The 24,561-nt window shown below is 41.3% G+C and overlaps 1 protein-coding gene and 1 pseudogene across 4 annotated transcripts in view, besides 1 other annotated feature; one reads left to right on the top strand and one right to left on the bottom strand.

Annotated features, from left to right (window-relative positions):
• The window catches only part of NUDCD3 (NudC domain containing 3), a 111,540-nt gene that overhangs the window by 6,248 nt on the left and 80,731 nt on the right, over positions 1-24,561 (top strand). The window lies entirely within an intron of this gene.
• Positions 6,767-7,061: a silencer, noted in NCBI's record as "tiled region #3634; HepG2 Repressive DNase matched - State 12:CtcfO, and K562 Repressive non-DNase unmatched - State 25:Art". NCBI's record gives its function as "represses a minimal TATA promoter and a strong SV40 promoter by Sharpr-MPRA in HepG2 cells, with weaker repression in K562 cells {active_cell/tissue: HepG2 | K562}" and the evidence as "EXISTENCE:reporter gene assay evidence [ECO:0000049][PMID:27701403]".
• Positions 16,062-16,567, bottom strand: RPL32P18 (ribosomal protein L32 pseudogene 18; annotated as a pseudogene).

Below are 24,561 nucleotides of genomic sequence, written 5' to 3'. Positions count from 1 at the left end.
AATGAGCCGATAGTCAAGCAGCTAATGAGCAGTAGAGCTTGAATATGACATGAGGTTTCCCTGAATCAAGCCTCTTGCTTTATGTACTTGTACTCACTTTTTAGGAGTTATGTTTTGTGGGTGCTCTAAACTTAGTTATACAGTCCTTCCTTACAGTCTGAGTGAGAGGAGCTGATCCCTTCTTGTGTGGGAGTTGTAGTAGTGTCTGCAAGACAGCCACGAGCCTCCTGGCCTGCTTTGTTTTTTTGGAAAATTCACTCTCTTCCCTCCTTGATAGGATGGGTCACCTGTGTGCCCCCAAATCCCTGCCACCTTGAGTTCTCTTCTGTTTTTCTCACTCCTTTACTCTCTTTCTGACGTGTTTTGGGGGAGATTGTGTGTGTGCGTGCACACTTTTTAATAGAGACCGGATCTTACTCTGTTGGCCAGGCTGGAGTGCAGTGGTGTGATCATAGCGCAATATATGAATTGAACTCTTGGGCTCCAGCAATCCTCTCGCCTCAGCCTCCTGAGTAGCTGGGACCATAGGCATGCACCACCACATCTGGTTAATTTTGTAATTTTTTGTAGAGATGTCTGCCACTATACCTGGCTAAATTTTAAAAATATTTTCTTGCTGTATTGCCTAGGCTGTGGGGGAGTTTTTGTTTTTTTTTCTAGTTAATGAAGCAAAGTGAACAACTTGGAATGGCTTATAAAATATGGAGTAAGAGAAAATAAGTTTTGTAAAGACAGGAGGGGCAAGATTGCAGAGTCTTAAAGTCCAGGCTAACTAATGGAGTTCGAAGAAAACAATTGTTTGATGGCAGAACCAAGCTGATGGAGAAGGGGAGCAGCTCTTGAATATGGAGCTCTGGATGAGAAGGGGTGAAATAAGGATTTAGAGATTGGAAGTGGGGAGTATAGGGTGGAAGGCAGACATCTGATATTTCCTTGCAGATCTTTTTAAAATATTTTTTATAGTGCAGATCTGCTGATAGTGAATTCTTTCAGCTTTTTTGTCTGAAAATGCCTTTATTTCATCTTCCATTTCTGAGGATATTTTTGCTGGATATAGAATTGCAGGTTGACACTTTTTTTTTGTTTTTGTTTTTCTTCAAACATTTTAAAGACTATCATTCCATTGTCTTCTAGCTTGCACTGTCTCTGATGAGAAGTGAGTAGACATTCTTTGTTCCCCTGTGTGTGAAATATCCCCATTCTCTTGTTATATCAGTTCCTTGAAGTTATTATCATTAGTTTGAGCAATTTGATTAAGATTTACTCATGCATGATAGTCCTTGTGTTTATACTATTGGGAGACTTTTGAGCACACACACACATACACACACACACACACACACTTAGGAGGTCTGTTTTCTCTTTGTCCTTCCTTTGGAATATTTTCTGTTGACCTGTCTTCAACTTTACTGTCTTTTCTCCTTTGGTGTCTAATCTGTAGTTAAACTCATCTAGTAACTTCTTAATTTCAGATAGTTTATTTTTTAGCCCTGCAGGTTCCCCTTGATTGTTTTTTATGGCTTCAATTTCTACCTTGGTTTTCCTTTAAATCCTTCAATATACTTACAATAGTTTAAAGTCTTTATCTGCTAATTCCATTATCTCTGTGATTTCTTGGTTTGTTTCTAGGGATTGAGTTTTCTCCTGATTTTGGGTTACATTTTCTTTTTCTTTCAAATGTCTGATAATTTTTTATTGGATGCTAGACATTAATGGATGTTATGCTGTCGAGTCTCTGGGTTTTGATTTCTTCTGTTGAGTGTTGAGTTTTGTTCTTGCAGGCAATTAATTTATTTGCTGATCAGAATGATCTTTTTGAAGCTTGTTTTTTATTTGTATTGATTGATCAATTGATTGTAGAGATGGAGTCTTAATATGTTACCCAGGCTAATCTCGAACTCCTGGTCCCAAATGATCTTCCCACCTTTGCTTACCAAAGTGCTGGGATTATAGGTGTGCACCAATGTGTCTGGCCTTGTTTTTCAGCTTTGTTAAGCTGTATCTAGGGTACTTTTATTTTAAAGCTAGCTTAGTCTTCTAAGACATGCCTTTTTGGGGCTTCTGAGTGCTCCAGCTGTTAGTGAGGTCTTTCCATTCTGACTGGTTGAGGCTTGAACGTCTCCCAGCTCTAGGGATTGTCCATGTCAGTTACCCAGGTTTCCTACTTGTCTCATGGAGTTGCACTTTACACATGTGCAGTTTTGTATTCAGCCAAAGACTCAAGGGGATCCTATGAGGTTTTTTGGAGTTCTTTCTATGCGCAGCCTCCTTACTAGTAGTCTTTCTGTAAAATAATCAGATGTAAGAATGAAGATTTAATATACAAAGTTGTTTGTCATAGTCCACTTAGGCTGCTATAACAAAATAATATAGCCTGGGTGGCTTATAGACTACATAAATTTATTGCTCACAGTTCTGGATACTGGAAGTCTAAGGTCAAGGTACTGGCAGATTCAGTGTCTGGTGAGGGCCCACATTCTGATTCGTAGTTACCTTGCTGTGTCCTCAAATGGTGGAAGAGGTGAGAGAACTCTCTCAAATCTTTTATGAGGGCACTAATTCCAGTCATGAAGGCAGAGCCCTGATCACCTCCCAAAGTACTCATCCCAATATCTTGGGATTAAGATTTACCGTAGGAATTTTGGGACACAAACATTCAGTCTATAGCATTGTTCACTTCAGTTCTATTTATTCCAACATTACTTATATTAGCAAAATTTTGGAAGAATGCTGAATTTCTGTAGTAAGGGAATGGAGAAATACATTTATAAAATGCTTTTAAAGACTACTGACATGGTTATTGTGATGGTCAGTTTCATTTGTCAGTTTGGCTAAGTTACAGTCCTGGTTATTCAGTCAAACACTCATCTTGGCATGGCTGTCAAGGTATTTTGTGGATGTGATGCAAGTTAATAATTGGTTGACTTTAAGTAAGGGTGATTGTCCTAGGTGATCTGAGTGGGCCTGATCTATCAGCTGAAAGCCTGAAGAGCGCAGCAGAGCTCCCCTGAAGTAGAAGAAATTTCTCCGATGGACAGCAGCTGCACTCAGTTTCTGGAGAGTTCCACATTGGCCTGCTATGTGGATTTCAGACTGGCCTAGCCAGCCCCCACAATCATGTAAGCCAATTTCTTGCAGTAACTCTCTTAATAAATACACTTATCCCTTGGTATCTGCAGGGGATTGGTTCCTGGTCCCTCGTGGATACCAAAATTCATGGATGTCTAGGTCTCTTATATAAAACAGTATAATATTTGTGTATAACCTATGCACATTCTCCCATAGACTTTAAATTATGTCTAGATTACTTACAATCCCTAATACAATGTAAATGCTATGTAAATAGTTGTTACACTGTATTATTTGGGGAATAATGACAAGAAGTTTGTACATGTTCAGCACAGACAAAACAATCCATTTTTTTTTTTTTTCAAATTTTTGGATTTTTTTTTTTTTTTTTTTTTTTTTTGATACTGGGTCTTGCTCTGTTGCCCATACTGGAATGCAGTGACATGATCTTGGCTCACTGCAGCCTCTGCCTTCTGAGCTCAAGCGAGCCTCCCACCTCAGCCTCCCAAGTAGCTGGGACTACAGGCGTGCACCACCTTGCCCAGCTGATTTTTGTATTTTTTGTAGAGATAGGGTCTTACCATGTTGCCCAGGCTGGTGTCGAACTGGTGAGCTCAAGTGATCCACTCGCCTCAGCCTCGTAAAGTGCTGGGATTATAGGTGTGAGGCACCATGCCTGGCCATTTTTTGGGAATATTTTTGATCCTCAGCAAATATTTTGGTAAATATTTTTTGGGAATATTTTGATTTGGGCTATGGAACCCATGGATAGCGAGGGCTGACTATATCTGCTGCTTCTGTTTCTTTGGTGGAACCTTGACTTATACAGATATTTTCATGATATAATGTTAAGTGAGAAGGGGAGAATTCAAACTATATAGTCTAATATCAAATTTGAAAACTTTAAAAATTATGTATGTAGAAAAAAAGCTGGAAGAAAATAGTAGTAGTAATCACAGAGTGGTGGAATTGTGAGTGTTCTTCATTTTTATCTTTGTCCCTTACTATATTTTCTAATTTTTCTGTAATGACCATTTATTTTGTTTTATTAATTTTTTTGTATTCCTTTTATGATCTCTAAAAAATGAAAGGAGGGTATTGGTTTTGATTTCTGAGTAATAGACTAGAATAGCTACTTTGTTGTTTTGTAGAGACCCTATTTTAAAATTCTTGAACCAGTGAATTTTGTTCTGGGTTAGAATTAGAGTTAGTTTTGTGAGTTCTACCTTAAAAATAAGTATAGAGTGAAGACTTGGATATGTTTCAGGAAAGCTAACCTTTCTACTTGGTAGCTCTTTGTTCAGAATAGACTGGTACCGCAAGAATCCTAATCAAACCTTTCCAAGGACTGGAACATTCTCAGCTTCAGTTACTTGTTTTCCTTGAACAAAACAGGAAGTTGTGGCACCGATCTCTAGTTATACCTGAAATGTAGTGTTTTAGCAGATTTGAAAATAGAATGTGAAAGACCATCCTTTTCCTTGTTCTACCTTTAGCTGCACCCCAAGTCCTCCCACCAGTGTTCAGGATGGTTTATCCTATAAATTATAGATCTGCAGTTCTTTTAATTGAGTAATTTAAGGTAGTTATTCTGTAGAAGACCACACAGAAGCACCATCTTTTGTGAGCACTCTGTCTAAAATCTGAGAATCTAAGTCTTAGATTGCTGATATCTGATGACTCTTACTTGACATGTTTTTCGGTTCTAACCAGTATTAGGCAAAAACTCCCTTTTTGTATACTACAGTAAAGTCACATCACATGCTTATTTAATTTAAATAAATTCAGTGTAAGTGCTGGGAAAGAAAGAAACAAGATTAAAAATAATGTATTTATATTTTGTATATATGTATTTTGAATTTTATTTTTTTAGAGACAGGATCTTGCTGTGTTTTTCAGGCTGAACTCGAACTTCTGGGCTCAAGTACTCCTCCTGCCTCTATATATGCATTTTTGTTGTAAGGTGTTCATTACTGTATACAGACAATTGTTTTGTGTTTTAGTAAAGTATAATTTATGTAACAATACAATTCATTCCTTTTAGAATACAGTTTATGACTTTGGACAAATGTAGTCTTGTAACCACCACAGTCAAGATAGATGACCAGTATGGTTTGGCTGTGTCCCCACCCAAATCTCATCTTGAATTGCAGTTCCCATAATCCTCACATGTCATGGGAGGGACCCGGTGGGAGGCAGTGAATCATGGGGGCAGTTATATCCATGTGGTTCTCGTGATAGTGAGTTCTCATAGACGGTTTTATAAGGGACTTTTCCCGCTTTGCTTGGCACGTCTTCCTGCTGGTATGTGAAGAAGGATGTGTTTACTTCCCCTTCTGTCATGATTGTAAGTTTTCTGAGGCCTCCCCAGCCATGCTGAACTGCGAGTCAATTAAACCTCTTTTCTTTATAAATTACCCCATCTTGGGTATGTCCTTATAGCAGCATGAGAATGGACTAATACAATGACATTTCCATTGGTGCCAGACTCCCAGATCCTGGCAACCTTGTGCCTGTGTTCTGCCCTAAAGCTGTTGCAGCATACATTGTTATTTATACATAATAATGTACAGGTTTCATTTATAGTATTTTTGGGGTGATTTGGGGGAAATTTTATTTTGACCTAATTTTACCATCACTCTGATTTTAGCATCTCCCTGACTAATAACCTACAATTGGTCTGAATTTCATTCTTGTTTCTGCCCTACTGTTGCTGCCAGGGCATGTCAAATGAAGATCAGAAATGCCCCCACCCCAGGGCTTAAAGGAACCTATCTTTTTCTTTTTTTAGACGGAGTTTTGCTCTTGTTGCCCAGGCTGGAGTGCAATGGCATGATCTCGGCTTACTGCAACTTCCACCTCCCAGGTTCAAGCGATTCTCCTGCCTTAGCCTTGCAAGTAGCTGGGAGTGCAGGTGCCTGCCACCATGCCTGGCTAATTTTTGTATTTTTTTAGTAGAGACAGGGTTTCACCATGTTGGCCATACTGGTCTGAAACTCCTGACCTTGGGTGATCCACCCATCTCGGTCTCCCAAAGTGCTGGAATTACAGGCGTGAGCCACCGCGCCCGGCCCAAAGTAAATAACCCATCTTATTCCTCAGAGAAGAGAGAGAATTTGCACACAGATATTTCCCTATTTGCACAAGATAGCATCAGAGAATGTGCTTATATTCTGTAAGGATGCTTTACAATTTTAATAGTTGTTCAGGCTGGGTGTGGTGGCTCATGCCTGTAATCTCAGCACTGTTAGAGGCCGAGGCCGGCTGATCATTTGAAGTCAGGAGTTTGAGACAAGCCTCACCAACATGGTGAAACTCTGTCTCTATAAAAATACAAAAAATTAACCAGGTGTGGTGGTGCGTGCCTGTAATCTCAGCTACACAGGAGGCTGAGGCAGCAGAATTGCATGAACCCGGGAGGTGGAGGTTGCAGTGAGTTGAGATTGTGCCACTGCACTCCAGCCTGGGCGACAGAGCAGAGCGAGACTCCATCTAAAAAAAAAAAAAAAAAAAAAAAAAGAATTGTTCATAGTAAAGACTTTGTAAAAAGTGAAAAAGTGCCATTTGAGCCTCAGTGTTTATGTAATACTAGACTGGGTGACCAGTGCCTGCAGACATGATTAGCACTGTGGAAGAGAGGGGCGCAAAGTCTGCAGCATCTTATGACGTAGTCACTAATCAGGCATTTCTCAAGAGCTGCCTGTTAGGGTTTGCCTCTTGGATGACCTCACGGTAGGGTTTGGTGTTGGTTTCCTGGGCATGGGCCGTCAGTGTCAACTTTCATAGCACCTGCAGTTCAGGCTCTTGACCTGCAGGTGTTGCTGTAGACAGTGGGATGGTGACTTTGCCTTTGCTTGTGCTGGGATGCTGACAAAAATCTCTGAAAGGCTGTGTCAGTCCTGGGCTTTTCCTTTTAAAAATCACGAGCAGAATTCTTTAACAGAGAAGAAGGAAAATATGGTAGCACTAAGAATGTCAGTTACTGCCTAGAAACTGTTGTCTTTGTCCTTTGTGCTTGGACTGGTTATCTTTTTGTCCTTTGGATGAGGAACAGAGTGCTCCAACACTGTTGGTGTGCATTGGGCAGTGACAGGGCCCTGGGTCCAACTAGGCCATTCCTCCTGCCCTGGGCAGGGAAGCAGAGTAGTGACAGTGTACAAAGAGGGTGTCATGGAACAATCTAACATATTAACCCCTTCTAGGACAAGCCCGTTAGAACATAATACCTGAGAAAACTGTTCAGTACTTTCTCTTGCTTTGGGTAGTGTGGCCTTTGTGCGCAGTTACAGGGACCTCGGTGCTTCTTGGGAAGGGAATGGCATCATTTGGAAGATAAATTTCAGGTTTCCTAATAGTGTCCTTGGCAGATACTTCATCATCATCATCAGGCTGCTCCCTCCTGACTTGGTCTCCGTAGGTATGGGCACTCTTCACTTTTCTCATCAGCAAAGTCTTTTCCAGTAGTTCATCCCTCCGCTTTCCCCAGCAGGTAACCATGCCTCCTTGGAGTTTGCACTTCATTTTACGTTATTCCTTTATGGCTGGCTGTGCCCACATTTTCAGTGATTAGGGGCAGAGACTTACTCAGCCTTTCTCACTTCCTGGTGCTGTGTGAGATGACCCCCCCAGTGCATGCCGAATTCCATTTCTTAGTACCTCTTCTTTGGTTTTGCTTACTGTTTTCGCTCAGTCTGTTATAACAAAAATACTGTAGCCTGGGTGGCTTATAAACAACAGACATTTATTGCTGACAGCCTCTATAGGAGGCTAGAAGTCCAAGATCAAGGTGCCAGCAGGTTCAGTGGTGAGGGCCCACTTCCTGGTTCATAGACCTCTGTCTTCTCATCGAGCTGTCACATGGTGAAAGGGGCAAATGAACTCCCTTAGGCCTGTTTTATAAGGCCACTACTCATATTCACGAGGGATCTGCCCTTATGACCTAATCGTCTCCCAAAGGCCCCACCTCCAAATAACATTACTTTGGAGGTTAGGTCTTTAACATGAATTTTGGAGGGACACAAACATTCCTTCTATAGCACTCACACACCTATCATGACATCTGTGGCTCTTGATGTCCCTCGGGTGGGCTGTCAGGAGAATAGAAAGGTGCCTGTGCTTCAGGCCTGAGACTTCTTTCCGTGTGTAGGCTCACACTGCCTGAGAAATTTGGGTTCCTTGTTTCGTCTTTAAACAGCTTCTTCCTTTACTAGTCGAGGCTTTTTCAGGTGCCCATTGCAGGAGACCCCTTTGTAGAGTCACGGGGGCTTAATCAGAATCCCCTTCTCTCCATATACCCAACCCCGTAGACTGTGGTGAGGATTGAATGAGACCTACTTAGCATGATTCCTGACAGAGTGTGCACTCAAGTAGATACTAGCTATTATCGTTACTATTATTTCTCTTAAAAAAGAAAAAGCTTTTCATTTTTCTTTCTGATTATACTCAATGTACAATATTTGGAAAATACAGATGAGTATATAAAGAAAATCCCTTCACTTCCTATTAACTTTTTGGGATATTTTCTATGGCTTTTCTTTTCTTTCCTTCTTTCTTTTCCTCTTCCCTTTTCTTTTTTGAGACATAGTCTTACTCTGTTGCCCAGGCTGGAATATAGTGGAGCACGGTGCAATTGTAGCTCAGTGCAACCTCGACTTCCTGGGCTCAAGCTGTCTTCCTACCTCAGCCTCCTGAGTAGCTGAGATCACGGATGTGTACCACCATGCCTGGCTAATTTTTAAAAAATTTTTTGTAGAGACGAGACTCCCTGTGTTGCCCAGGCTGGTCTCAAACTCCTGGGCTTAAGAGATCCTCCTGCCTCAGCCTCTCAAAGTGCTGGAATTACAGGCATGAGTGTCTGTATCCAGCCTGTTTTTTTCTTATGCATGTAAACATATACATAAATACATGTATGTATATTTATAAAATTTTATTACACTTTATCTTCTTTTATGCTGAACAGAGTATCCTTAGCATTTCCTGCATGCCTTTTGCTGATTTTGAATTTGTGATGTAGACCAGCCTGGCCAGTATGGTGACAGCCTGTCTCTACTAAAAATACAAAAATTAGCTGAGTGTGGTGGTGCATGCCTGTAGTCCCAGCTACTCGGGAAGCTGAGGCAGAAGAATTGCTTGAACCTAGGAGGCGGGGGTTGCAGTGAGCTGAGATCATGCCACTGCACTCCAGCTGGAGTGACAGAGCGAGACTTCGTCTCAAAAAAAAAAAAAAAAAGAAATGAATTTGTGATGTACACTGTTGAGTGTTGTCTACCTGAAGTGGCTCTTGTCCTTGGATGAGGGCATATGCTGCATAGTATGCACTGAGAGAGAATAATGAATAGAAAGCCAGGGGTTGAGGGATGTCTGTCTGTTTCCCCTCAGATTCAGCTATCTGTGGACCCCACCTGGGGATTGAGCCTTAGGCCACCTGGCTCAGTGTCATCTTGTGTCATAGCTGCTATTTCACCTTTCCAGTGATTCACCCTGAAACTGCACCTTCTTTAAGAAAGCTCAGGCATAAGAAGCCTCCAAGCGATTTGACTTAAATCACAAGTCAGGAAAACCTGATTTAAGTTGTTAGGAGGACTTTTAAAAAATTCTCACAAGAAACATTGCATTTTTATTTTTTATTTTGCAGTTTATTTTTATTTTGCAGTGAAGGTTATATGCTTCATTTTTAGAAAGCAGTGTTGAGTTTGCTGGATATTGAAGTTATATCAGAAAATAACCTGGTATCTTAACGTTTTCAGAGTTGGATGGGTTCAGGGAGCATGTGGTCAGGGAGGAGGAAGAGGAGTGTTAGAATCATCTGTGGAGTTTTTCCCCTGGAAAAATGTGTATTTCCAAAAATTGAGAACCAGTGATCTGCTTCCTTTTTACAGGTGAAGAAATTGAGATGTACAATGGTCAAGTGCTTTGCTTAAAATCATACATTTAGAAGGTAGGGCCAGAGAGTTATTGGGAATTGAAGCAGAACTACCTCGTGGACTAACTGAGGATTTATTTGCATTGATGTGTTAGAAAAAAGCAACTAATTACCCTACTATCTGAGAGATACTTTTTAAAAACTAGCCAATTTCTTTTAAAATAACCAACTTCTATTTGAATATTTTTCTATAATAATAGTTCTTCTTTTTATGCTAGCTTGGTTTTTTTTTTTTTTGATGTTGGAAAGGTAATATATGTACTTCACAAAATGTTTATTAGGTAGAATTTGAAATACAAAAGACAGTAGACAGAAGAACATGACTCCTCATGTGCTCATTGCCCAGTTCCAACAGCAGCCTGCTTTTCTCCCTCCTGGTTTATTTTGAAACAAATTCTGCCTTGTATCATTTCATCTGTAAATATTTTCAGCCACTGTTTAAACTTCCAGTTTTCTTATAGTGTCCTAATTAAAAGAAAGTTTTGTTTGAATCAGGCTACTAATAAGGCTCCAAACACCAATGCCTCATAGTCAACCCTCCATTTTTCTCTCTTTTTTTTCCCTCAAAATTTATTTGGTAAAGTAAATCAAGTTGTTTGTTTGTATTTCCCACTAGCTGGATTTTGCTGATTATTACCCACATGTGGTTTAGCATGTCCTTTGTCCTATTTCCTATAAGTTGGAGTTGGATTTAGGGTAACATTTTTGAAAGTTAGGAGAGTATGTAATAGAAGCAGGTTCTTCCTAAAGATGACTGTTGTTCAATATCATCTTTTGCAAAATTTTAATATTTTATATGTATGTATATATTTTCCCTACTATATATAGTACACATGCACAGACAAAAGCACATCAGTGAATGTTGCCTTTGTCATATCCCTGGAATGTGCTGTGAACCCTTGCACTAGATAAGCAGCTGACACTGACTGAATACTTCCTGTTGCCAGGTAGCTTCTCCTTAGTGTACACATAGGTTTTTCACTGTCCTCACAACTCTTTGAGGCCGTTCTGTTGCCTTCCCATTTTGTAGTTTAGGAAACTGACCCAGGCTCATGTTGTTGAGCAGTGGAACCTAGTTTGCCTTTGGGTGGTTTGCCCTGAGATTCTCCGCTACGTTAAAATGCTGATGTTCATATTGTTTGGTCCATAAAACATAAAATAAAATAAAATGCTTGGGTCCTTGCTCTAGAGATCTGATTTAATTGGTCTGAGTGTGGCCTCTTCTGTGTCATGTCTGGATTTTCAGAAACTTTCCAGGTGACTCTGATGTGTGGCCAAGATGTTTACTAACTGCCATGTAGTATTCTGCTGTGTAGATCTTATTATTTAATGAGTCCCCAAGGGGTGTGTACTTAAGTTGTTTCCCGTGTGCCAGCATCACAAATGATGTTGCAGTGAATATGCGTTTAAGTGTCTCTTGGAACATGTGTATGAATATCAGCTAAATGAATTCCCAGAACAGGAATTACTGGGTCAAAGGGTATGGCGTTTGTAATTTTGATGGATGTTGCTAAATTGGCCTCAGGGAGTTTGTGTCTGTTCTCTCACTGCTAGGTTGCTAGGTTGTCTCAGAGTACCCGACCCCATCCTAGGTGTTAGCCAGAGTCCCTAACTCCTTTCTGGGCTACTGTTACCTTTTCTTCTTTGGTTTTCTTTGAAATGTCGTTCACTTTTGAAATATCTTGGATTTAACTTTGTATATGTTTCTGTATTTTTTTCCATTCTTTGTATCTACAAATACTAAACCATTTGTTCATTTTGTTTGTTAGCACAACGCTATTTTGTTTCATAGCTTTATAATACATTTTAGCACTTGGTAGAACTAGTGTTTAATCTTTTTACCCCCAGACTTTTCTCAAATATTCCCGTAAATTAATTTTTGTGTATGAAAATTCTGTTGAAATATTCATTGAGAATACATTAAATTTATGTTTTGGATTAGGGAGAATTGACATCTTTACATTATTGAGTCTTTTGGTCTAAGAAAAGGTTATGTCTTATTTACTCAAGTCTTGCTTTATGTTCTTTTGTAGAATTTTAATCTTTTTATTCAGTAAGTCCTATACACCAATATCGAATTCTCTTACTGGTTTCTAATAGTTTCTCAGTTGATTTTCTTGGATTTTCTAGGAGTGCAGACTATTTCTTATTTATAGTAGTATTTTAGTAACAACTATATTTAGTAATACATCATTTATGTATTTGTCACATTTAGAATTCTAAATGTAATTGTATTTTTTTCCTCCTCCTCAAAATTTGTTGCTGAGCAACTGGAAGGATGGAACTGGCAGCCACTAAAGCACTGGAGGGGAAGTTTCTCAGGGTTGATTGGGGTTGGTCACGGCTTCCATCAATCTGAGAAGCTGACCAGTGGTTGAGGTGGCATTACTAATTAGGCAATAGACACACGAGTCTGGAGTTCTGAGAAGAGTAGGGACTGGGATGGGCATTTGGAAAACATTAGCATTTAGATGCATTTAACCATAGACTGGGTAAGATCACCAAGGCAGTGAGGGTGGATGGAGGAGACAAACCTGAGAGCATTCCAGGAGCCCTTGTGACCGGTGCAGTAACCCCTCGATTAGACCTGTTGCTTCATCTCTGGTTTGTTCATGGAGTCCGGATGAGCACCTAAAATCCTGTGTCATTTTGTGAGTCTTTGTCACCCCTTGCTTCTAAGAGGTATATCTAAGGTCTGTGTGTCACTTCTACTCTGTAGTGGCCTCAGTGTGTCCCTGAGTAGGTGATTCTGTGTTCTCTATCCTATGAGTGGTGGCTGTAAACACTTCTATGTGTTTACACACTCCTATGTGTTTACAAAAAACCTCTATGTGCCTTTCCTGTGCAAACTGTCCTTTGTGTGTCTTTTCTTGTGGCCACTCATGCTTGCCCTGCTCATTCTGTCAGCAGAGAAGTCAGGAGGAGGGGAGTGGGACTGACCTAGATCACCTAGCCCTGAGCTGGTTGTTACCATGTACAGTTGGCCCTCTGTATCCTTCGGTTCCACATCTGCAGATCCAACCAACCTTGGATTGAAAATACTAAAAAAGCCAAAACCATAAAAAATAACAATACAACAATAAAGATAATACAAATAAAAAATATTTAACAACTATTTACATAGCATTTTCATTGTATTAACTATTATAAAGCTAAAGATGATTTAAAGTATACATGAGGACGTGCATATGCAAATACTATACCATTTGATATCAGGATATCAGGGACTTGAGCATCGTTGGATTTTGGTATCCTTAGGGTTCTTGGAACCAGCACTCTGTGAATACCAAGGGACAACTGCATATCTACTTGTTGGGTACCATTTGTCGTCACCATGCAAGGCAGGAACTTTGTTCATTGTGGATTCTACTGCCTGGCACGTAGTTGGTACTCAGTAAACAGCTGAACAAATAATGATTGAAGTTAAAAGTCACATTGAAGATGATCAACCTTTGAATTTTAACATATCTCATGAATGCCACTCTTCAGTAACATTTAGTTTTTCTCATATTTTCACATTTGTGTATGTTCTCTGTCTTCTTAGGGCAACTCAGAGTTGTACTTTGAACTTGGTAGTAGTTTGAACTCTTGTTTTGGTTTGGTCAAAGTAAAGATAAATAAAAATAGTTAAAAGTTAAACTTGCTAGTAGAGTCCTGAGGCCACTTCTCTGTCTTCCAGACATTGTGCTGAGCCGTCAGGCTGTCAGCTGCCCCTTCTGGTTTTGTTGTTTGTGCTCTTGCCCTTCTTTCCCTTCCCTCATGGGTTGCTTCCCTTGCAGCCCCTGAGTTACAGATGCCCAGGACTATGCAGAGCCCGGTCCACGCAGGCCTTGTGCTCTCTGAGCCACGCTGTGAGGTAGTTGGAGTGACCTGAGTTTTTGTATCTCCTTTAATTAAGCCAAGGAATTTGCTGTGGAAGCAGCATCTGAGTGAGAGGCTAACATTGGGGGGACCTTAAACCGAGCCTGGGCGTGTAGGCAGCTCTGTCCTATAGGATTTGCTTTGAGACCCTCTGGAATAAGTCATCTCAAATGACTTGGCTGTGAGTTCTGTGAGCTGAGAAATCAGATTTGGAGCCTGTTATCTGGTCTTTAAAATAGCAGCTGTGGGATTCTGAAGAGTGAGGGTCAGATCTGTGGTCTGGCTGCTGGCTGCTGTGGTATGGAGTCAGTGTTCTTAGCTAACCAAAGACTAGCATATTCTCTCTCTCATATAACTGTTAATGTCTGTTTATTTTTTGGTCTTTTAAAAAAATCTTTGAATTTTAGATAATTCATATCTACCAAAAAAAATTGCAGAAGTCATGCGAAGAATTCTCACATATGCTCTTCACCCAGCTTCACCAAATGTTAGAGTCTTTTATAATGAGGGATTACCATTAGCTCATCTGTAGACCTTGTTTAAATTCTGCCTGTTGAATCATGTCCTTTATCCTTGGCTCAGGGTTCAATTTGTTATTGTCATTGTATTCGTGGTTGTGTCTCTCTTCAGTCTCCTTTATCTGGGACAGTGACAGTTTCTTAGTCTTTTCATGACCTTGACAGTTAAAGAGAACTGGTCCTTTTTTTTTTCCTTCATTGCCATTTTTTTTTTTCGTGGAATGTCCCTCATTATAGTTTTGTCTGATGCTTCCTTATGACTGTATTCGTGTTATATGTTTTTGGCAAGAATGCCACAGAAGAATACCATGGTGGGCCCTTAGTGTGTCATGCCAGGATTTGTCCCATTCCTTCTGATGTTAATTGTGATCATAACTGTGATCATTTGGCTGAATGGATGGCTGCACATTTCTTCCACTGTGGAGTTACTGTGTTCCTTTTTGTAATTAATAAGTATCTTGTGGGGAGATAACTTTGAGACTAGATAAATATCTTGTTTCTCAGCATACCTTTACCATTAATCTTAGCAACCACTGATTATTCTTGCCTGAAACAATTATTACTGTACTGTTTGCTAAATGATTTTCTATTTTTATCATTCTCTCTCCATTTATTATTTAGAATTATACTTGTCAAAAGACAAAATTATAACAAATTTAGTTTAAAGATCTAGTTGGCATTTGTGTTTCTAGAATTGGGCAACATCTCATTCTGTAAAATAGAATGAGTATTCCCATGAGCTGACCAAAGGAGGTAGGTTTTATAGGCAGAAAAGGGCTGAGAAAAGCAGACACAGAGAACAAAAAGCAGATGGGTCGTTTCAAAGTCACTTCCTCATAGGGTTGAAACAGGTAAGGGGTCTTCCTTACCTGCTGACTCAAGTTGACTGAAATCTCCTGTTTTTTTTTTTTTTTTTTTTTTTTTTGGTTTGTTTGTTTGAAAACTGGCCCTTTTTAAAGTTCATTTTGATTGTCTCTATTCTGGTTTGGTCTGGTGTGCTGGGGCCTTATGCAGGAGCTCAGTCCAAAACAAATGGACTGTAAGGACTGTAAGTTTCACATGCTGTAAGGAAGAGCTTTTCTTTCTCCTCTACTTATTTATTAGTTCTTGGTGTATGTCAGTGTGTATTCATGGATAGTTATTCCATAGGTTATGGTCCATTACTATTGTTTAATTGCTCAAGTGGCCTCTTGCAGTTGACTTTTCCTGTTAACATGTTTGCATCATTTTTCGAGCACTTCTTTATTTTCTTGTACACTACAGGAAGTTCCAGGTTTGAATTCTTCTCCTGCCCTGGCTGTGGAATGGACCCTTTCTCCAAGAAGTCCTTGGGTTTTGATAAGAGATTGAGATTACAAGCCAAGAGCTGGGCCTGCTGTGTTAGTTGGTGCTGTGGTGTCAGGCTTCTAGACTCTCCCAGTGGATGAGCAAGGAGGATACCTGTCTCTTGCCTTGTGGTTTGCTCCTTTAATCTCTGAAACTGTTACATTTATCTTTTTACTTCCTGATTCTAGTCTTTTTCCCCCTTTTAAAAAAATTATGTTATGGAATAAGAGTATGAATCTTGGAGTCTAGAGACCGGGCATTCAGTTGCTAGCTCTGACACTGATAAGCTGTCTGGCATTGAACAAACAAATTCTTTCGTCTCCCTGGGCCTTAGTTTTCTTTTCTTTTTTTTTTTTTTTTTTTTTGCAGTTTTTACATTTATTTAAACAGAAAACGTGCACACGAGCTGTCTACTCATTTTCTTCGCTGCGCAGCCTGGCATTGGGGTTGGTGACTCTGATGGCCAGTTGGGCAGCTGTTTCCACGATGGCTTTGCGGTTCTTGGAGGAAACATTGTGAGCGATCTCGGCACAGTAAGATTTGTTGCACATCAGCAGCACTTCCAGCTCCTTGATGTTGTGGACCAGGAACTTCCGGAAGCCACTGGGCAGCATGTGCTTTGTTTTTTTGTTGCTCCCATAACCAATGTTGGGCATCAAGATCTGGCCCTTGAATCTTCTACGAACCCTGTTGTCAGTGCCTCTGGGTTTCCGCCAGTTACGCTTAATTTTGACATATTGGTCTGACTGGTGCTGGATGAACTTCTTGGTTCTCTTTTTGACGATCTTGGGCTTCACAAGGGGTCTGAGGGCGGCCATGATGCCGAGGAGGAGATGGCTGCCACCTCCGTAGGCAGCGCCGAGGAAGAGAGCCTTTTCTTTTCTTTTTTTTTTTTTTACTGAGGTCTTAGTTTTTTTCTTATATACAATAGGGTGATAACAATTAAAGGGCTGTTGTAAGGATTAAATGAGATAGTATAATTAAAGCTTTCAGTATAAGCTAAGTACTAGGTTTGGTTCTTGGATTCAGCAAGTATTTATGGAATACTTTTTTTTTTTAGGGGCTTGGGGCAAATGGGGTTTAAGATTGCCAGCCTGCCCCAGTCTTTTGCCTCGTCCCTGCCGGGCCTCAATGGGGACCTTGATCTCTGACCTGCCCCTTGATCAAAGAGCTCCACCTCTGACTTGTCCCTTGATCTGGGAGCTTGGGTTCTAACTTGGCAGCCTGGATCAGGGTGATTGGCCTCTGGCTGATGCAGAGGAACCTCTGGCTTCTTTTTCTTCCTTTGAGCAGTTGTACAATTTGAGTCAGGAAGGGAGAGAGGATGGCTTCTTTCTGGCCACCCACTAGCAGAAGTCTTGGAGTGGGCGCTTCGCCGTTCCCATGTTAAATGAGCAGTTCTGATTCTGTCTGGGCACATTCTACTTCTGAAAGCAAAATTTCACACCGATCTCTGTGGGTGGTATTATTGTGAGGACCATTGGAAGGGACTCTCCTTCCTTCCCTCCTTTTCTGTCATAACTTTTCTATCTTTATTGACCCATTCTTCAGTAGGGGTGAGATGCTGGTTCAGCAGGCCCTGTAATAGCAGCACACTCTGCCCTGCAGAGGTTGGAGGAAGTGACACCCAACCTTCTTCACCACGGGGGGCTGGTGAGGGTGAATGTGGGGAAAGAAACCAGTCAGTGCCCCTCAATCTTCACTGCTGATAGCTGAGCCACACCATAGATTTGGACCAGAATCTTCTCCCAAGGAGGGCCAGTGCTCTCTTCCCATGACCCTCATAGCAGAGTCTGAAACAGCAGTCTGAGTGGGTCACACGTTCCCTCACCCGGTGGGGCTTTGTGACCTAGTGATTCATGGGAAGCGGGGGTGTTTGCACACTTTCTCCCTCCTGCCCACTAGCATGCCTCCTGCTTTGCAGGCTCACCCAGAGCTTTCTATTCTGCTGCTGCTAGAGCTTCCCAATAAGTGGGTAGGTAGGACTAGCTGTGACCTAGAAAACACTTAGCATTATCCAAGTGTCCCTAGTGAAAAGCTGAATAAAGCAGGAGAAATGTCACTTTGGATGCTCAAGTTCTCCTAGGAGAACAAACTTCCAGACCTTTTGTTTCCCCTAATTTTTGAAGGCAGCATGGCTGAGCCCAGAACCACATGGCTGAGCCTGGTACCAGAGTGGCTGGCAGGATGAGCACTTCACAGATTGGTGTGGTGACTAGCAGCCTCCTTCCTGAGGCCTTTGGGGCCCTGCTGACTGTACTGGGTCTTAAGTAAGAAAAACAGAAAACTGTTTCTCTCTCCAAGGAAAACAAGCAATAAACCCCATGTACATACCTCCCTGAGTTCTGAGTAAGAAAGGAAACCAGGCATGGTGGCCCCAGAAGTGTTCAGGGCATATGGGTATGATCCCTTGCCCGAGTGGGTTGGCAGTGTCCTCTTGAGAGGCTTTTTGTGTCTGCTGAGTATTTTCCAATTTAGGGTGGCTCAGGGGATGGGATGAGGATTCTTCAACTTTTTCCTTGTTTTTTAGCTTTTTTCCTTCTCAAGTTGGCCCTGGGTGGCTGTCCCTGCTTCTAGGGGCCATTGTGAGCTTTACATTGGTGCAGTGCTGGCTCCTGGCAGCAAGCATCTGGCTTATACCACTGAGATGTCTCATGTTGGGTGGCTGTGCCACCCAGGCTTCCATGGTCCTGGGTTCACTGGTCATTTCTTTCCCAAAAGTATGCATTCACGAGGTCAGCTTTGTATCTTTGGGGCCAAGCATCTGTGATTTTGCTGCTCTAGCTTTTATTTAGATTTGACTCTCTTGCACCCCTTTTACCCTGGAACTTCCTATTTTTCCGTAAAAGTTTTTCTTTATTTTTTTTAACTGGTGTTTTGAAAAATGCTGTATGCATATATCAAAAACAATTTGAGAAGTACGGTGGGGTGTATAGTAGAACTTTGGTGGTCTTCTCACTCACGGCCCTGTCTGTGGCTCTGTTCTGCTCTACACAGTGAGGTGACTGTGTTTATCCACTCTACCCTAAGTGGCTGCTGTTACCAGTGTCTGGTGTACCGGTCAGGAGATAGTCTATGAAAATACAAGCATACTTATCTATGCCTGTCTTCTTACTTTTTTCTTTTTTGGTTAATACAGTTTATTTTTAGACTGACTTTAGGTTCACAGCAAAATTGAGCAGGAAGTGCAGAGAGTTCTCCCTGTGCCCATGGCCTCCACGATTAATGTCCCACATTCTCTACTTTTTCAGTTTTAACCTTTCCACAGATGATAGTGGCTGTATACACTGCTCATCCACATCAGTCTCAGTGGGTGTCTGCTGTGTTCTCTAACGGCTGTTCAGAAGTTTCCCACTTCATGTGGACAGGCCTTAAGGTGTTGATGTTTTACTGTGTGAACTGTGCTGTGGCTGTCTGTATTCTCTCAGCCTCATTTCTGGTGGAATTACGGGAGAATGATGTGAGATGACTGTGAGATTTTTAAAATCACTAAAAGTTTCTTTATAGTAATATAGAGGAAAATTAGAAAATACATGTAAAAAACATTAAGATTAAGGAAATTTAAAATGCTCTCTGGAAATGTCCTGGGGATGTCCCATGCTCGTGTGGGGTCTAGGGCACAGGGCGGAGAGCAAAGCATAGGTGTTTGAACTGGTGCTGCTGAGGTGGAGCAGAGCACATGTGTCAGCTTCTGTTTACACCTTCGTTTGGGCCCTTCTGCTCCCCTGCCACTTCCCTGAGCCCTGCCCTCGGCTCGGCCCCTGGGATGGATGTGGGTTATTGTTTTTGGCACTGTAAGAGGAGGGAATTTAGAATAAGGAAAAGAGGGTTGAGATTCTGTACTAAATGCCAGTATTGTTGGGTGTCTTAATCTAAAAGCTGGAATGGGGATAACGCTCCTTCTAAAAGGGTATTGGTCCATAGAATAAGAAAAAATTGAAGCTTATGTAAAGATTTGGTGGGCCGGGCATGGTGTCTCACACCTGTAATCCTAGCCCTTTGGGAGGCCAAGGCGGGCAGATTACTTGAGGCCAAGAGCTCGAGACCAGCCTGGCCAATGTGGTGAAACCCTGTCTCTACTAAAAATACAAAAATTAGCTGGGTTTGGTGGTACATGCCTGTAATCCCAGTTACTCAGGAGGCTGAGGTGGGAGGATTGCTTGAGTCTGAGAGGTGGAGGTTGCAATGAGCCGAGATTGTGCCATTGCACTGGGTGACACAGCAAGACTCCACCAAAAAAAAAAAATTGTTGATCTAGTCAAGGTACATTTCTCTGCCTGATGTTTTCTGAGACATGGGTGTATGATTTGTCTGTGCTATATTGTGTTCTAACCCAGAGGCCGTGAAATGAAAAAAACGTAATTTAACTCAAATTAATGGGACTGTGGCGCTCTTTTTCTTTCTAGTTGGCCTGCTGTCACTTTGAGGGACTGTTATTTGGAGGAAGTTAATTTGGGAAACGATTCTTGCTTCGTTTTCTTTTTCTTTTTTTTTTTTTTTTGAGATGGGGTCTTGCTCTTTAACCCAGGCTGGAGTGCAGTGGCATGATCTTGGCTCACTGCAACCTCTTCCTCTCGGGTTCAAGCAATTCTCCTGTCTCAGCCTCCCAAGTAGCTGGGACTACAGGCGTGCACCACCACGCCTGGCTAATTTTTGTATTTTTAGTAGAGACGGGGTTTCACCATATTGGTCAGGCTGGTCTCGAACTCCTAACCTCAGATGATCCACCTGCCGCAGCCTCCCAAAGTGCTGGGATCACAGGCGTGAGCCACTGTGCCCGGCCAGGAAATGATTCTTTTGGTCCCTCATACTGCTTGTGAAGTTGTAGAAGTACTAAATTCCCATTTCATCCAGAAAATATATTTCTTTGAAAATGTCCGTTGATTTTTTTTTTATTTAGTAAAAATACATTCCTTTTGTAAATAGATAAAACTCAAGACCCCTTTGATCATCCCTCAAGCCCAGTATTCTCCCAGAGATAACAATTGTTCTTGGGCTCACCTTTTATTTATTTATTTTAATTTAGTGATTCCAGTTTTTAATGTTTAAGATTGCTGGTTGATTCTTATGAGTGTAATATCCTCTCACACCACTTGGAGGCTGTTGATTGTGCCTGTTTTTAAGTCTTGTGTCTTTACTAACTCTGTGTTCTGCAGCATCACTTCTTTAGGTGTAGAATTTGTTGCCCTTTTCTCAGGGTTTGGGGATACTCAGCTGTGTATTAACTTTTAAATTTGAGGTTCCTGTTAGCCTGTCTGGATGCTGCATCAGTTTTCCAAAGTTGGTCTCTAGACATTGTTGGTGGCTTGGCTGGGCATGGACTATGTCAGCTGCTAGTTCTCAGGGATGGCAGGCTCCGTGCCCTCTGTGGGTGTCACCAGCTTGTCCTCCCAAACCAAGTGTCCAACTCTCCTTCTCTCTGGGTTCAATGCCACTTAGGTTCAAGTGAGTGGAGTTACATATGTGTTTTTGGGGAGGGGCAGGAGGTCATTCCATTGTTATACCCTAACCACATTGTCCCTTGATACTCACAAAGACAAACTAGAGCGGGCTAGGGTTTCTGGGCATCTCTGCCTCCTGACCCTATCGGGGTCAAGACACACCCAGGCTGCATGTGTAGCCTTCGCTTAGTGTCATATATTCAGTGCCAGCAGCTATCTCATGAGGGCCATGGGCACTCATACAATGCAAAAGATACTATAAATCTTTTGTATCTTTGTGTATACACACACACACACACACACACACACACACACACACACACACACAGCCTGGTTGTGTCTTGATTGGTAACCCAGAATACACAGGCAGTGTTGCTTTGGTGATGAGTATTTTCAAAAAGGCAATTACATTTTAGTAAAGGCCAGAATCAGACATGTTGTATTCCTGGAAAATTCATGATATAATAAAAGCATGCAAAAAATTATTTGGGTTTTTATCTAAAATTGAGTTAGGTTACAGGCTCAGAAGAATGTTAAACAGCTTCTGTCTACCTGCATGTCTAATGGGATGTGTGAAGGTAATGCAGGGCAGGGGACAGTGCCCATTGACTGCCCCAAGGACACCTAACGCTGCCCACACACTCCCAAACTCCCAGGAGGCAGGGCCTACCCTCCCTTTGAGAGCTGCTGATCAAGTAGGAGTTTTCTGTTTTCATTCATATTTGAAAAGTTGGAATAATCTGCTTTATGATGTCTTTATTCCCTGAAAAGTTAAGCTAATAATATTGGTCAGTGTTTTCCTATTTAGGAACATTTTCTGAACATGTGGTCATTAGGGGATTTTAGAGTATAAGTTATGTATCTGTTAATTTTTTCTGGGTAATTATGTGGTTGAGATGCTAGTGGCACACATTATGGTTACATTTGTTCAGTAACTGTAACTCGAGCCCTGGAAATTAGGCTTCTATAAAATTTCATAGCAATTCATGAAATGTTGTTTGTAAGCAAAATGTACCCAGCTCCTTGACTAAAGTTACCTTAAATATTCTTAAAGATAGAGAGGTAATACGCATTTCTTTTTCTCTTTCTGTATGTGTGTATATATGAGAGAGAGAGAGAGAGTGTGTGTGTACATGTCCCTGATAATTCCTATCTCAGAGCAGTGGAAGTCCTCTGAGTTTGATAATATGCTTTGCATGTGCTATATTTGTGGACTGCCTCAGAACATCTCTTGGGGAGACTACCTGGGTTCAGGGACCACCTGCCTATGCACCTGAATCATGTGAGCCCTGATTTTATTTACCACGGAGCCAGGCACTTGAACACTGTCCCATCCCAACTGTGTCCATCCCAACTGTGGACAGCTTTTACACGGTCCACCTCCTTGCCTTCCAGGACCCCTTCCTCCCTTCTCCTTGGCTTCTGTGGCCCTGCACCCATGAAGGCCAGCACAGGCACCACCTTCTCTAGGAAGCATTTCTGGCATTTGAGAAAATGAGCTTTCACACAGTCTGGGTTAGGGCCCGGATCCCAAACTTTCTGTTTCTTTGTTTCCTCCCCCTTTCAACCATTATGGCTGAGGTGTGGCCATTCTGCATGTCACATGGCTGGTGAAAGACTCCTTTCTCTCTCTCTTTGGTGCTTCTTCAAAGGCTCCTTCACTTTCAATGGTATAGGTCAGATTGTACCATGTGTCTGCGGCTGACTCAATCATGGTAGCTTTTCTGTCCTTCCCATAGCATCCCTAACAGGCAGGAAATGATTTAGTCTTTATGAGTGTGCCTCCCCCCACAGGGAGACAGCCTTTTCCTGTTGCAGATCACACTGATTTTAAGAGAAGACTTCTCTTCATATGCAGCTTGCCCTTCTATCCTCCCATCCCATGTATATGTGGCATACCTTCTATGATGTTTCAGGCTCTGTTCTAGCAGTCAGACATATAGAGTGGGAGATGCTCAAGGGGCTCACAGTTTAGGGGGAGCTTGGACAAACTGTTGCAATCCCATGTGATGAATGCAGAGGAAGGGTCCAGACCCATTTTCTGGAATGTCAGAAATACTTCCTGGAGAAGGTGATGCCTGTGCTGGCCTTCATGGGTGCAGGGCCGAAGAAGCCAGGAGAAGGGAGGAAGGGATTCCTGGAAGGCAAGGAGATAGAAGAAAGCATTTGAGTTGTGTCCAGAGAATCCCCTTGGGAGGGGTATAGTCTTGAAGGAGCGTTTTGAGATAAGCAGAGTTGAACCCGTCGGGTTTTTAGGCCTGTTGTCTAGGACTACCTAGGATATGTGGTAGGAGAAAAGAATTATCACACCGTTCAAATACATTTTTAAAAATAATGAAAGATTTTCCAATGGAGGAAAACTAAAATCCTTTAATGCAGATTTTGCAAAAAAGCGTTTTTGCCAAGTGTTGACTAGTGTAGAGTTAATTCATTTGGAGTAATGTTTTATAGTATTTGTGAAATTTAGTATAGGTTAGAGTTAGTACTGGATCCAGGGTTTAAACTTTTGTTTTCTCTTTCTTTCCCCCCAAATTAAAGCATCCTATCCTTTTCATCTTAATTTCATTCATATCTTCATATTACGTTTTTGAGATAGCTGTTTATTTTTTTGAGGGGGAAATAGTGACATAAATAGGTTTAGAACCTCAGGTGGCTTAAAACCCCAGATGTAGTCAGTGGTAAATTTTTTTTTTCTTGGTTAGTCTAGTTTTGGTGTTGGTAAGTATTATATATGCTGGTGGGTTTTTAAAAAGGGCACGTGGTAGAGTCTGGCATACTATTTGGAGTCTTGTGGTAGCTGCCCACTTCCTGCTAATGCAGTAGAGCATGTTCATAATGGCCTTATATGCTTTCCTTCCTAGGGCAGGCCGTACTTAGTCATACCAGGTAAGAAATATGTTTTAAAATTTTAGTTAAACAGTTATGATGATAGCTTATAGTTTACTTTGCATTTCTTTATTTATAGAAAGATTACATTTTCTACACAGTGATTTACTGTTGTTATTTCCTACTTTGTTAACTCATTAACTCCACTTACTCATTGATGGGAGTCTGGATATTATCCTTCTGTAGTTTTACAAATCCTCACATTTTCTTATTCACTGCTTTTCTTCTATCAGTTGATTCACTGAATTTAGTGTGGGGATTTTACCACATCGATACTGCCTTCAGTGATTTTCTTTATGTTAGATTTTAGAAATTTCTCTCTGCTTTAATGTTGTAGGCTAAATATACCATTCCATTGTCTACTAAAGGGCTCAAGACTGTTCTTTAATATTGTTTGATTTCTTTAAAATGAATTCCACTGTGACTTGATCAAGTTTTGTATTATACCACTTGGGGACTTTAATTGATATTATGTTAAAACTCCATATTAACTTGAAGAGTATGATCAGTTTTGTTCTCGTTAAATTTTCCTGTTAAA

The sequence above is a fragment of the Homo sapiens genome, chromosome 7, assembly GCF_000001405.40.
Source record: "Homo sapiens chromosome 7, GRCh38.p14 Primary Assembly".
Classification (NCBI taxonomy): domain Eukaryota; kingdom Metazoa; phylum Chordata; class Mammalia; order Primates; family Hominidae; genus Homo; species Homo sapiens.
Note: the sequence above shows the minus strand (reverse complement) of the source record. Positions and strands in the feature narration are given on the sequence as shown.